Here is a 15,771-nt window from a genome sequence, read left to right as displayed (position 1 = left end):
ATAGACTGGATTAAGAAAATGTGGCACATGTACACCATGGAATACTATGCAGCCATAAAAAATGATGAGTTCATGTCCTTTGTAGGGACATGGATGAAATTGGAAATTATCATTCTCAGTAAACTATCGCAAGAACAAAAAACCAAACACCGCATATTCTCACTCATAGGTGGGAATTGAACAATGAGATCACATGGACCCAGGAAGGGGGATATCACACTCTGGGGACTGTGGTGGGGTGGGGGGAGGGGGGAGGGATAGCATTGGGAGATAAACCTAATGCTAGATGACGAGTTAGTGGGTGCAGCGCACCAGCATGGCACATGTATACATATGTAACTAACCTGCACAATGTGCACATGTACCCTAAAACTTAAAGTATAATAAAAATAAATAAATAAATAAATAAGAAAAAAAAAGTTCAAAAAAAAAAAAGAAATAGAAAATTATAAATTGTGAGTACTATCTTTAAATATTCCACCTCTGAAAGACAGAAATACCATCAGACATTCAAACGTCCTTTTCTAATTAAGAATTTTGCCTTTTGGGGTTACAGATTCATGATGTCAGTAAAGTTATAAATCATTATCCTTCCTCTTCACCAAAGAGTTCAAAACATATAATTGGTGTTCACATAAAGGTTTTACATTCTGCTTGCTGTCAGAAGTTTTTCCTTTCACTATTGGATTATGTGAACTAAAAAGGCAAATGAATGATTCACTAGAATTCATCAATATAAATATTTAATGATGTAATGCTTTCACCAGTAGTTAAATGTGGCTTATATTTTTCACTAATAAGTTATTTTTCATTTTTGTTCTCAAGTTTTTAAAATTTTTTCTGTAAGATGAGCACTTTCCCAGACCTCTATATCTAATCATGAATTTTGCAAAGTGAGTTACAATATAGAATGAACTATACTTAAATATAGTTGACCGTTTTTCACAATGTGTCTATGATTCAAATAAAGTAACATTTTAGAAGATAACAATCTACACTTACAGTTCTGAGTGTTATACAAATTTTTAAAAGCTATAAACAATGGGCATTGCTGAAATTAAGATACGTTTTTTAAAATGTCAGGTATATAATAAATGATCAATAAAGGGGTGTGCTCTTCAATGTAATTAATATTTTGGGTCATTTCTATGAGAATATTAATCCTTACTTGCTTTTATTAAACATACAGAAAATGGTAATATAACAAACACTCCAAATTAGAGAAGATAATACAAATATGAGGGTGCTTAACTATCAATAATTAGTTACTATAGTCCTATTAAAGTATATTATAAATAAATGTGTGTTTATTTGAGACTAAGTTATACTGCAATGACAAATTATGTACTTAAGAGATTCATTAACAAGTTCACTGTGTCAAAGGTGGAACCTAATATAGGAGTTCTTATGGTTTCCTAAGCACTCAGTTACTAAGTATGGTTTACTAAGCACTCAGTTACTACTAGTAACCAATGAAGCTAGCAACCAATTGTTTAATTTTACTATTCTTGAGCATATATAAGTACCCAAAGTAATAGGGAATAAATACTCTCAGGTAGAATATACATATCTTTTAAATTTATTTATTACAAATAATTGTCAAGACATTTAGTAAGAGCCTGGTATAACATGAGTGTCTATAAGAAATGTAATGTAAATATGACAGTCTACATATTTTTTAAGGTAGAAGAGTATGGTAAATAAAGATGAACATTTATAGATATATTTCAAGACTGCAATATATCTCCAGGACCAGAGTAAAGACTTGTTGAAGAATATTGTTCTCCCTCCTGAAGTTTCCTCTGCCACGTAATAGTATATATACTTTAGGTATAATCTTTAGCAGTTACATCATATAATGAGGTTGTTTTTATAATGCATTTATTTCCTGATTTCCTGATTAGATCCATCTATATCCTGATAGATAAGATGAGGATATTATTAAGTAAAGAAAATGTGAGAAAAACTGTTAATCAAGGAGATGCCATAGGGGATTTTGCGTTCTTTGAAGAGTTAGAAATGAGTAAATGACCTGCTTTGAAATACTAGAGAACTTTAGTATATATTTAAAACAGTTATTTTCTCTGTTGCAATAGAAATACTAAAATATGTTATCTGGAATACAGTAGTTGTCATCATTAAACAAAAGGAAAACACGTATTTCATATGGAATTATCAAATATATTGCCAAAAACATAGTTGGACTTTTCTTCGTCTTATAGATTTATCAGAAAGTTTCAAAAAAGTTATGAAATGTGTCTGTTCCCATATTTTATACACACAGCCATTTAACCACTTTGTTAGAAAGTTTCAAAAAAAGTTACGAACGTGTCTGTACTCATATTCTGTCCACATAGCCATTTAACCACTTTGCAGTATAAAATCAGTAAAATATTTTGAGAGTTTTGAAAAATAAAAATCAAACTAGTTAAGCGATGTTACAAATTCATATTAATATGTATAATAGCACATAATATCTTCTGGCATTTTTAATCAAAATACCACTTAATTGCCTAAATGTAACTTTTTAGCTTCTAGTGTATACCTCTTTTATACAGCAATATACCCTAACATAACAATGCCGCCAAATGTTTTAAATAGTTAGATATTTGCTAAGATGTGTAATTACAGTATATCTCTACATCTATGGCACATAATATCATTATTTAATTATTTTTCTGGGTTTGAGAAAATTTTACTAACACCTTCAACTGACATGAAACAACAAAAATAGTATCTGCTGTGAAACGCACAGATTGTGATTTTTATAGAAATTGGAATTCAATGGATAGTAAAAGGTTTTGTCTACCATGGGAATAACCTCAATGCTTCATTTTGAAAAAGGATCTAAATTGTATTGACTTGAATATTTGAAATTGTATTTGTCTAACTTGGTTGATATTTTAAAAGGTATTGTCCTTCTGATAGATAGATATATAACCCATGTAGAAAGGAGCATGAAATGTTACCATTAGGACACTTATTAATTACAATATATGACATTGAGCTGTTGAGGAGGAGAGAAACTCACACCAGTGTTTAAGATATAACTCAGAGTCATGTCAGTGTTATGAGCTGAGATTTTAGAGTCAATAGGCCTTAGTTACAATCCTGAGCTCATATATACTAGAGAGGTGATCTTAAGGAAGAAACTATAACAGAACATTAAATCGGTACTCTTTCTAACTCAATTTTGATCAAGTCCCAAGTTAAAATGTCTTGAACATCTATACAGTCAGTACATTTGAAAAAGGTGGTAAAACACTAACTTTGTAACCTTAAGTAGCCCATGCATTTCTAGAGAATAAAAAGGGTCAAGGACGCAGAAACCTAAAAGTGAAACTGAGTGAGAGTGAGAGAGACTTCCTGGACTGCACCTCATTTTGGTGCAGAATAAGAACATCTTCCTTAACTCTTGTCAAGTGAAAGCAGATTGGAACAGCTATGGGGAAAGTTGAGTGCACTTACTCACCAGTAAACTGATGATTAACCTATGCTTGGAGAATCTGAAGACCAAGGATTTTTGATACCGAAATGAAGACGCATAGCAGAGATAAAAAGAATAAGCTGTATTGGAACAGACTGTATTATTATGCCTATATATGCATTGAAAATATGTATTTAAATATACAATATATGTATATATTACCCATATTTACATACTAAATATGTAATATTAAATATTACGTAATAGTAAATATTGCATATTATATATGTAAGATAGGATTGATTCTGGGGCATGCCACAGAGGAGAAAGTTTATCTGGTGCCATTTTAAATCACGTCCAAAAGGAGTGCCTAGAGATCCAGTATGACCAAATCAAATAGTAACAGACAACAAGAATGACAGAAACTGAAGAAAGAGTCATAAGCATTCATCCAAAGAAGATGCATTTTCCATATAGCAATATGCAATTATATGTCCTTATAATAAAATAAGCTCAGAGGGACTCACAAAACTGCTTCATGAGAAGAAGATAACTTCTTCCACAAAGCCAGAGAGCCAGGAGTGGCTCATTAAAGCACATGTGAGTTAAAAACTTCTCAGTCCATTATAATGATGCCCCTTTTCCCTGTTCTAATTCAGGAGAAATTATAAAAGAAATGGCCAGCTTTTAGGGTAAAGCAAAAGAAGCAAAATGCTGAGAAACTGTTTCCTACAGATTTCCAGCCCAATCAGGCAGAAGTTGGCGGAGAAAGGACTTGGATCACAATGAGATATTGCTTATTATAATGGTTGCATATTTTTCTTATTGGATGATTTTTTCATTCTTTTGAGTTTCTGATTAGCCTTTCCAAAGGAGGCAAATCAGATATACGTCCATCTCAGTGAGCAGTGGAGTGACTTTGGATAGAATGGGAGTCAAGTTTGCCCTAAGCAGTTTACAGCTTGAGTTTTCCTTAGCGATATTGGAGGCCCAAGATATTTTCCTTTCACATACCTAAAGCAATCCCCTTGAAGTTGCTTAAGTTTTTATGTACACGGTGGGTTTAATAGAAGAACATTATTTTCTGCTTGCACCTAAGGGATTCCACAGATAAGTACCATTATATATCTTTAAGTGTCAGAATCTTTATCTGAAAAATTCTAATCATTTTAGGCAAATATATATGAGTCTTGTGTTGATTAAATAATATATTTTCATAATGTGTTTTGCATATACTAAGTATAATATATATGATATTTATATTATTCAGTTAAATACCAATCTCATGTACTAATTTTGTACTGTGTTATTACTAGGCACTGTATTTGGCAATCATTGTTTTAGGAAGATATGATGACTTTTATTAAGGAATCTTGTAGAGGAATTATTTTACAAAACAAATAATTCAGGATTCAGTAAACAGATTTAAGATTACAGAGGAGGGAAAGCTCATAACTGCAAATGAGGAACCAAGGAGAACTTCATGGGGTAAGGTATACTTAGCAGCAAATGAATAGCAATGTAAATGGACTTCTCTTCATTACTGAAAAAATGATTTTCTGTTTTTTTAATTGTTGGAGGATTCCAAATAAAATATGACAAAATACAATTATTGATGATATATTAATTTTTAAATAACACTTAAATAAAGAGGATGAAAAACTGATGCCCTGTCTATGTAATATGAACAACGCAAACATAAAAAGAAAAAAATATTTCTTTTAATCTTCAAAATAGCTGGGCAGTAATTTTTTCTATATCAAAATATTATTATATTTGCATTGTTATGATTATTTCAGATTTTTCTAATCAAATTGTGTCATTGAATTTAGCATATGGCCAATTTTGAACTTAAAAAATACTGAACTTTTGTAAAGAGTATGTGCTAACAAGAGATAATTACTTAAACAAGCACTATCTCCTCAGTTTAATTAACCAAGCCTTTCACTTGGTTTTCAGAGTATAATTAAATTAGATAACCTCAGAATGGATGGCTCACTTGAGCTTCTTGGAAAATATGCTTAACCTCAACAGTTTCTCCCGTCTATTAGGTAAATGGTTTTGATTAAGATCCCAAGTAAGTTCTAGTGTTTAGTCAAAAAATCTTGGTATGAGAACCTGAAGTATTATTCAAGGGCCTAAACAATCTTCCCAGATCTATTTTCATTCATCATTAATTACTTTATACCCATTATTCAAAGTTATCTCGATTTGTCAAATGAAATTAAAATTTCAATTGATTTTAAAATATTCAATAACTTTTCACTGTGGGCAATTGACAGAGACAGGCAAATTTCTAGTAAACAATACAATATTATCAACTATATTCACTGTACTGTATATCTTTTTTTTTCATAAGAAAGAACCATCAGCAAAACCCATGATTTTATTGATGTCCTATTCAAAATCAACAATGATACCCAATTTATAAATGTACATTTTGAATGTGAAAGAATGTGGCTGGCCATCTAAGCTGAGTATTTGTTTTAGTCTGAAAAACCACAGTAAATCCTTGACTCCTGTGGTAACTGAGAACATGCAAGGTCCAGTTGCTGCTGGGGAAAGTAAACTTTTGATACTTATGCACTCCCTTTTGTCCTAAGTTGTAAAATCACTTCTGACTGTAGCCCACTGGTCAATTTTTCCTTAGGCTTGGAAAAGACATAGAATTAATTAGGGGGTGTGTAATTCTTAACACCTGGAATCTACAACTCATATAGTATCAAAAGCAAAAGAAAAATTTCAGTTCTAATAACCTAGGTTAGAGTCATTCTTTATATGTTCAGTAAGACATATTCTCTCTCTTCCTTTAAACAAGGAATCAAAATTAGGCATAAATACGTCTTTAATAATACAATTTAAAAATACTAAAACATAATAAAATGGCAGTTTATACACTTATGTTTTACAACATACAACAACAATAAAGTTTAGATTCAAAGTTGATAAATATTTCAAATTTTCCTTGAGGAATAGATGCTTCAACAAGAGGAAATATTTCTACCAAACACCAAAATACTTATTTGGAGAACCATGCCCTCAGAAACACTTTATGATATCACCAGTATTTTGATGGAGTTCTTATAATTTATTCCTTATTTTGGTCACTATGAGTCCCAGAAGTGAATGCATCTGTGCTGTATTTATATTTAAATAATTTGTTATATTGTGAAAATGTATGTGTAAATGTTATACTATTTTCATGCCACCATTGCAATGTGCTTTAAATAATACCGTATTTGTACATCCTGATGATGTTGGTAACTGATTTCATTAGTACATAATGAAATGGACTAATGTTAAGACTGATTGTTAAACTAGGGAATTAACAAAGGTTATGTTTCCAGAGGGTGAAACAAGTTTGGGACTCTGGATGGCAGAACAAGTAGAGGAGAATAAATTTCAAATTTCTAAACCTGACAGAGGCATCACTCTCTGAAGACATGTTTCATGGTAACATGAAATTTATAGAAATGTATTCTAAACCTGCATGCAGGGCTCAGTGTCCAGAGATCAAGATCAGACAGAAGAATATACAGCCACCATTTTGTGACTACTGCCTTACAATAGCACAGGTCCACATCAGTCCTATGCTTACTTTTCTTTCATCTTTGACTCACTTTGTCCTATAAATGTAATATGTACATACAGAAAAGGTTCTGTATATGTATTAAGATTTTGTCTTTATATCTTGAATCCTTTACATAACTATATTATTTCAGCAGAAAATTTTAGACCAGAATACATATATTATATATATTAAATATATATCACCTCTTACATATTTTCATATATATATATGTCTCCATTTGTAACCAAAGTCGTATTCCTGATGCTCTCCATCATTGCAATTTGTTGTGAAAATATACCAAAATTGTTCATATTTGATTACATTATATAGCAAAAAGTTACATGGTATAAAATTGTTTTTCCAAAGTTTAGCCACTATACAACAGTAGAGATTCTAATTAGTCACTTTAGTGTTTATATTAAATACTTAAACATTGCCTTAATTCTCATATTTTTTGTATGAAGTGCTCTTCAATGTCAGAATATTTAATAAATAAGGCATTAGTGTAAAAGGATATCGCCATCAATAACTGTTTCCACTTTTCTAATGCTGTTTACTAGATGGATCACAGTGTGATCAACTGAGACATAGAATACTGAAGGAAAAGTTCTAAGGGATAGATGATAATAAGTTTTCAGGTAATGACATTGGGGTTCTTTGAAGATACCAATATAGTAGCATATGTAATCATTTGTATAATAATGAAGATAATAGACACAAGTTTGGGACTCACTCGTCCTTTGTGTTGACCAAGTATGAAAGTACATAAAGTTAGTTAAGATAATTCTGCAAAAGGGAAAAATGTTATAACACAGGCTTAACCTTGAGGAAACAACAGCATTTTAAGGGTGAAAGAGATGAACAGTTGTCTAGAAATAAGATCGAGAAAAAAATGAACACAGATTACATAAGAGAGCCAAGAACGTATGGTGTCACAGAAGCTAGGAAAAAAGAGTCTGTTAGCAATGAAGATGAGAATAATAGTGCCATACTCAGAGAACAGAAGAAAACATAAGACCTTGTCTGTCTTTACTGTTTTTGTGAAAATGAGGTAATTCTTGTTGACTGTCTTGGTCCATTTTGTGCTGTTATATATATTAGAACAGATAGGGTAATTCATAATGAACAGAAACAAATATATTGGCTCACAGTTTTGTATGCTGGGAAATCAAATATGGAGGGGCCAGCATCTGCAGAAGGTCTTCTTGTTGCATCATCACATGGTGGAAAAAGGGAGCTGAACTCTCTCTTTTATAACAAACCCACTCCTGAGATAACAAACCCAGGTGTGTAATAGTAAATTCGCTCCTGAGATAAAAATCTCACTGGAATGATAATAGCATTAATCCATTCATGAGGGCATAGCCTTCACAGCCCAATCATAGCTTGAAGGCCCGACCTACTAACACTGTCACAATGGCAATCAAATTTCAACATGGGTTTTGTGGGGGGACAAACAATCAATTATAGCCATAACCTTAGTGTAAAGAATTATAATATAATGGGATAAAGATATTAGAAAAAGGCTCACATGGCTGTAAATTGATAAAAAATAAAAGAGTTAATAGAGATGGAAAGATCAATAGAAGATGCTAACAAGAAGGTAAAGAAAATATAAGAACATTTATTGTAATTTCAAAGACAAAAGTTTATTGACCAATAGTTGGGGAGCTACTAGAGGGAGGAGATAGCTGATAGGGCAAGATCTAAGAAAAGAGAAATGAGTGATTGAAAAAGAAAAAAATGCAAATATACAGAAGGAAAAATAAGGAGTATTATTCTCTGAAAATGGGCAGAAAAGATAAAGACTGAAATTAAGATGGATATCTAAGTCGTAGATGAAGTGTCAAGAAGTTTAAGAAGAACATGCAAAATAAACTCTCGTTCTTTAATTAAACAGGCTACCAGCTAGGGGAGAGAATAAAAAAAACTGGAAAACTACTTGTGGCAGTGAATTATCTTCATTTTGGAAAAGTTAGACAGCATTTAAGAAGTAGGCAAGGTTAAACTCTTTTTTTTTTTATAGTGGGCTAGTCTGAATATTTCTGTTATTTTCTAGCAGCACTGTTTTCTCTATATGGTCCCTTAGCTCTCAAATGGTCTGCAGCTATTCTTACAGGCACACCTCTCTGCTTTTAGACTCTCTCCATTAAAATTAAACACTTCTGCAGCTATTTTCATCTTCTGAAGTAAACCTGAATGCTGAGTCTGTCTTGCTGACTCTGGCCCAGCGACAGATGAAACAAGTACATGGACATAGGTATTCTGCCTGACAGCGCGGCTAGGGGGCAGCATGGCTTAGCCCACTGATGAGGGTTCCACACCCATAAGCCAGCCCTGCTTGCATTTATTTAGTACAGATTTAATGACAGAGGCTTGGAGCAAACACAATTTGTGGGTAATAAGCATTGTCGACTCCCCAAGTAGAGGGCAGTCCTGTGCGTGAATGATCAAAGCTTCGTTTCTGGAGACAGGAGTAAACAAATGTATCTAGATAAGTTCCTTTCATTCTTTTGTTATTTGCCCTTTGCTCTCAGCCTCTGGATAAGAGAATTTGACTGTCTTCAGCCATAATTCTGTCCCGAAGCTTTTGCAAAACCTCCCGGCCTTCCAAGAAGGTCTGTGTCTTTCCTATAATTTTCCCCGCCACCCTGACTGATCTCCTACACCTGTATTATGAAATTATTCTATTACAGATACATTTTGTTCTATTAATTAAATAATATCCAAATTCTGTAGTTTAAATGTTATTATAATCATATGATTATTGTCATGAGACATTTGTAAGGTAACTGTAGTCTGTAAAACAGTAACTGCCCCAATTAGATCAGGAGTTGCTTTTGTTGCCCTTATTTATTTTTACATCATTTTTTTTCACTCCAATAACAAAAGGTTTTATTTTTGGCAGAAATTTGAATAATGAGTTGAAGCCTACTTATTCCTACACCCAGTGATAGCAATTGGTAAATTCATTAAATATGCTACAAAAAGAGTTTTTTGGATGTTTACAGCGTTTAAAGATCATCATACATACTTACGTTTACACATTTTTCTTTCTAATCTCTTAGAATTGTCGGTCTGGGACAGGTACATGATTCAAAAGTGTGGGCAGTGATATATTAAGCAACGTGAAAGAATTTCAGAACATAATATTATTATAAGAAAACGAAAACAAAAGAGAAAATAATGAATCAGATTTTTTTTTTCTCAAAAAACATAAATCACATTGAAGATAGAGATTAAATATTTACTAAATCATTTTCTAAAGTTTGTAAAAGGTGGGCAGATACGAGGTCAGGAGATTGAGACCATCCTGGCTAACATGGTGAAACTCTGTCTCTACTAAAAATACAAAAAATTAGCCAGGCGTGGTGGCAGGTGACTGTCCTGTAGTTCCAGCTACTCGAGAGGCTGAGGCAGGAGAATGGCGTGAACTGGGGAGGTGGAGCTAGAGCTTGCAGTGAGCCAAGATCGGGCCACTGCATTCCAGCCAGGGTGACAGAGTGAGAATCCATCCCCCCTTAAAAAAAGGTTGTTTCAGAATATCTTTGAAGAAATCCTGTTAGCGTCACCTTTTACATATTTTCAGCCTTTACATTTATTTTATTAATATTTTCTGCTGTGCTGTTTTGGTTCTTCACTCATTATTACTTCATATCATTTCCACTACAGTGTATATATATTTCCCCCTTAATATTCACATTCCTTCATATTTAAGTTTTTCAAGTAAATATCCTCTTTATTCACTTTTGTTTCAAAATTTACACTTAATTTTGAGAGCATCCATTAAATGACTCAAAAAAGTTTCATTTAAAAAAACCATTTATTAAAATTATGTATTTTTCTCTCCCCTTAAATGTTTTTTCAAAACATTTTGATTAATGCTTTGAATGTGTAATATCATACTTTTTGCAGTTATAAAATTAGCATGAGTATAATAGGTTTTTTCTTCATCATATATACTCTGATCAACTATCAGTAAGAAATTCCAAAATATGCAAATTTTGCATGCATTTTTCATAGAAATTAAATATTCTTTCCAATAAGAATAAAAAAAGGAAAATATGATCCACTTTGAATTATTGGAGAATCAAGGAATACATTAGTAAAAGATATATACCACATTTACTATGCATATCAAGTCAGTGTGGCATGGTAGGAAAAGACCAGGGATGGTTGTAAAAAATCGATTGACTTATTCTGGATTTTTCCCGGAATACATATAAAAACTTTGTTAGGTAATTTATTCTCTATCTGTTTCTATCAGCTTCCTCTAAACACAGAAAGTGAAGAGTGAAAACTAGTAGATACTCATGGTACTTCCTAAGACCTCTATTGTTTTGGCAATATAAGCTTCTGTATACTCATGATTCTAACTTTAAGATCTGTATCTGTTTTGCACAGACTTGAGCAAGTGAAATGTCTCTCTTGATAGTCTTGTATCCAAGTGAACTATCACTTATCAAAACTTTCTTAAACTAGATAAATCATCTAAGTGGCTGCTGACCTTACCGGTGACTTGAACTGGCTTAACGGGGATCAGAAGCACAGTAACATAAAAAATGCAGGATGCTGAAAAGAGTCATCCAACTGTTTTGCATTGCTGAACCTTGACATTGTTGAGCCTTCCAGTACTAACTACTAGTTATGGATAGCATCTTTGTCATCTCCACCGTACAGAAAATCACTACAATGAAATAATCTACAACAATGATAAATATGTGTCAACAGGATAGTCGAAAAAAAATATAAAATATAAACCTTTTCATTTGAAAAGAAATAATACAAAGTGTTTGTAGGTTTCTGACACTTCAATGTACCATGTGTGCTTTTTAATCTATTCTCACGTTCTTTTATGCAATATGCAAAGATATAAAATATCGTTCCTTTGGTTTAGCCTTTTAAATATTTGTTACGCGTCATTCTTCCGTTGTTTGATTTAATTGTATGAATTAATTTCACTTCTTTTTGATATTTTTATTATCTGCTTTCTCCTCCTTTATTTAAAAATGACTTTAAACATTTTAAATGTTAACTGGTTTGTCCTTGTCTTTGGTAGTTCCCTTTACATCAGGGCTTATCTATGTGATGCCAGACATTTCATCTGACACATGCCTTTTTTAACACTAACGGGTGTACTCTATTAACACACACTGGGCTGTTGATGATCTTAAAGCTTAAACCTTTGGTTTTTGGGGGAAAAAGATGACAAAATAAGCCAAATTTAGTTTATGTTATACATATCAGAAATTGAGGTCATATAGAAATAATTTATACTTCTTGGTAGGTATAAAACCATTTAATAACAGCAACAAGAGCTCTCAGATTAGAAATAATATTTCCTATATTCTTTAAATCCATTTTGTCTTATACCTTACTCTGAAAAATCTGTATTTTTTTTTTACTGAATATGCACTTTGTTTCACAATGACCATTTTATTCAATAGGAGCTACAGAATAAATTTAGAAAACACACATTGAGAGTAGAAAGGAATAGCAGAAAACTGCTAAAATTATTTTATAGTATATCCTAGAACTTGTTATGCAGGCAGCATTTTCTATAATGAGAGAAAAATACTAGCCATTATAAGGCAGATAACCAGATAGCCCTAAATAAGGAGAAGTGTATTCCCTAGTTATTGCTGAATTGTCCCATACTAAATTTTTCACCAATAATTCCAGATTTTATCTTAATATCACTGCTCCCAAAGAATGTCTTCAAATGTTATATATTACAAACTATATATTTTAATTATATTAATCATAAAATCACATGCTGCAATGCATGTATATTTTTTGTTAGCATAAAATAACAATGTATTGTAAACATACCATATTCATCTCAGATTTCAAAATATAATATTCTTCATTTATTCTTCATTTGACAGCCAAAGCCATTAATGACAAAAATATACACAATTTATTAAGAATTTATGGATATAATACTTAAGCTTTTAGGAACACCACAATATTAGCTACTGAGATAAAATATCCTTTAAAAAATTCTAATGTGGGACATTTCTAAATATAAGCCAAATGCACACATTCTTGAGGATAATTGTTCACAAAATAGCGTGACTTCTAATGGTATTCATTTGTATTATGTAGCATGAGAGATTACTTCATAAAAATATCGATTTAAAACTTCCTTGGGTTTTTATAGTTTTGGGTTTTACATTTAAGTCTTTAATCCATCTTGAGTTGAATTTTTGTATAGGAGTAAGAAAGGGGTCCAGTTTCAATTTTCTGCCCATGGCTAGCCAGTTTTCCTAGCACCATTTATTAAATAGGGAATCTTTTCCCCATTGTTTGTTTTTTTTCAGGTTTGTCAAAGATCAGATGTTTGTAGATGTGTGGTCTTATATCTAAGATCTCTTTTCTGTTCCGTTGGTCTATGTGTCTGGTTTTGTACCAGTACCATGCCATTTTCGTTACTGAAGACTTGTAGTATAGTTTTTAGTCAGGTAGTGTAATGCCTCCAACTTTGTTCTATTTGCTTAGGATTGTCTTGGCTATATGGACTCTTTTTTTTGGTTAGATACAAATTTTAAAGTAGTTTTTTTCTAGTTCTGTGAAGATTGCCAATGGTAGTTTAATGGGAATAGCATTGAATCTATAAATTACTTTGGGCAGTGTGGCCATTTTCACAATATTGATTCTTCCTATCCATGAGCATGGGATGTTTTTCTATTTGTCTATGTTCTCTCTTTTTCCCTTAGTGGTGGTTTCTAGTTTTTCTTGAAGTGGTCTTTCACTTCCCTTGTTAGCTGTATTTCTAGGTATTTTATTCTCTTTGAAAAAATTGTGAATGGGAGTTCTAGGAAATACCATTCAGAACATAGGCATGGGCAAAGATTTCATGACAAAAATGTCAAAAGCAATTGCAACTAAAGCAAAAATTGACAAATGAGATCTAATTAAAATAAAGAGCTTCTGCACAGCAAAAGAAACTATCATCAGAATGAACAGACAACAGAATTGCAGAAAATTTTTGCAATTTATTCATCTGACAAATGTCTAATATCCAGAGTCTACAAGGAACTGAAACAAATGTATGAGTAAACAACAAACAACTCCATTAAAAAGTGGGCAAATCACATGAACAGACACTTCTCAAAAGAAAACATTTATTCTGCCAACAAACATACGAAAAAAAGCTCAACATCACTGATCATTAGAGAAATTAAAATCAAGACCACAATGAGATATCATTTCATGCAAGTCAAAATGGCAATTATTAAAAAGCCAAGAAACAAAAAGTGTTGGTGAGGCTGTGGAGAAGCAGGAAAGCTTTTACACTGTCGGTGGGAATGTAAATGAGTTCAACCATTATGAAAACCAGTGTGGCAATTCCTCAAAGACCTAGAGGCAGAAATGCCATTGGATCCAGCATCCCATTACTGCCTATATACCCAAAGGAATATAAATAGTTCCATTATAAAGGCACATGCACATGTTCATTGCAGCACTACTCACAATAGCAAAGACATAGAATCAACCCAAGTGCCCATGAATGATAGACTGGATAAAGAAAATATGGTACATATACACCATGCAATACCATGCAGCCATAAAAAGGAACCAGATCATGTCCTTAGCAGGGACATGGTTGGTGCCGTAAGCCATTATCTTCAGAAAACTAACCCAGGAACAGAAATGAAACACCACATGTTCTTACTTATAAGTGGGAGGTGAACATTGAGAACACATGGACACAGGGTGGGGAAAAACACATACTGGGGCCTGTTGGGGGATGTGGTGGAGGGAGGGAGAGCATCAGGATAAATAAGTAATGCATGCAGGGCTTAATAAGTTCAGTTGATATGTGCAGCAAACCAACATGGCATATGTTTACCTATGTAACAAATCCTGCATGTCCTGCACATGTATCCCAGAACTTAAAACAAAATAAAATAAAATAAAAATTTCCTTGGTTGGGTAAATTTTACAAATGTTAACATCCTGTAGCATCCTGATACTGTTTGCTTTTGCTGCTACTACTCTTTTTGAATTACCCTCTAGGATCATTCTTCTATGAAAGTGCCAAGCTGTACACTATGGTAATTGAGGCAATTTTTTTCTAGAATTAAGGATTTCCCCCAACAAAATTATATTATTTTTCTGACTCTAGCTTTGATACAAAAGTTCAAAGGCTTCCTGGATTCTTGCTTGTTCAAAGGCTTCTAGACCAACCTTGCTCCTTTAATGCTTGATTTTTTTTTCTGTATGGGAGTTGAAAACAGATTTTACAGGTTAATATCATATATCAAATTAAGAAAAAACCCAAAGCATAAAATCAAGGTAGCAAACAGGTAGAAATAATTAAGTGGCATAAACCACTAGAGTTAGGCCTCTAACTAACTCTAGTCCTGGAACCAATCTTTCATTTCCCATGGATACTTCTGCAGTATCAGTTACAATGTCTCCTTTTAATTTTCTGATTTTATTTTCTGCAATATCAGTTATGATGTCTCCTTTTTCATTTCTGATTTTATTTATTTGAATCTTCTCTCTTTTCCAAAATCTCTTTTGGATTTCTTCCTGTTTCAATCTTCGTAGGTTGTATGTACCTAGAAATTTGTCCATTTCTTCTAGATTTTCCAATTTATTGGCATATAGTTGCTCAAAAGAGCCACTGATGATTCTTTGAATTTCTGCAGTATCAGTAACAATGTCTCCTTTTTCATTTCTGATTTTATTTATTTGAATCTTCTCTCTTTTTTTCTTATTGTGGCTAAGAGTTTGTCAAATTTAACTTTTTGAAAAACTGACT

Source organism: Homo sapiens, chromosome 13 (genome assembly GCF_000001405.40).
Source record: "Homo sapiens chromosome 13, GRCh38.p14 Primary Assembly".
NCBI lineage: Eukaryota > Metazoa > Chordata > Mammalia > Primates > Hominidae > Homo > Homo sapiens.
The sequence above is the reverse complement of the archived record's forward strand: the minus strand, read 5'-3'. Positions refer to the sequence as shown.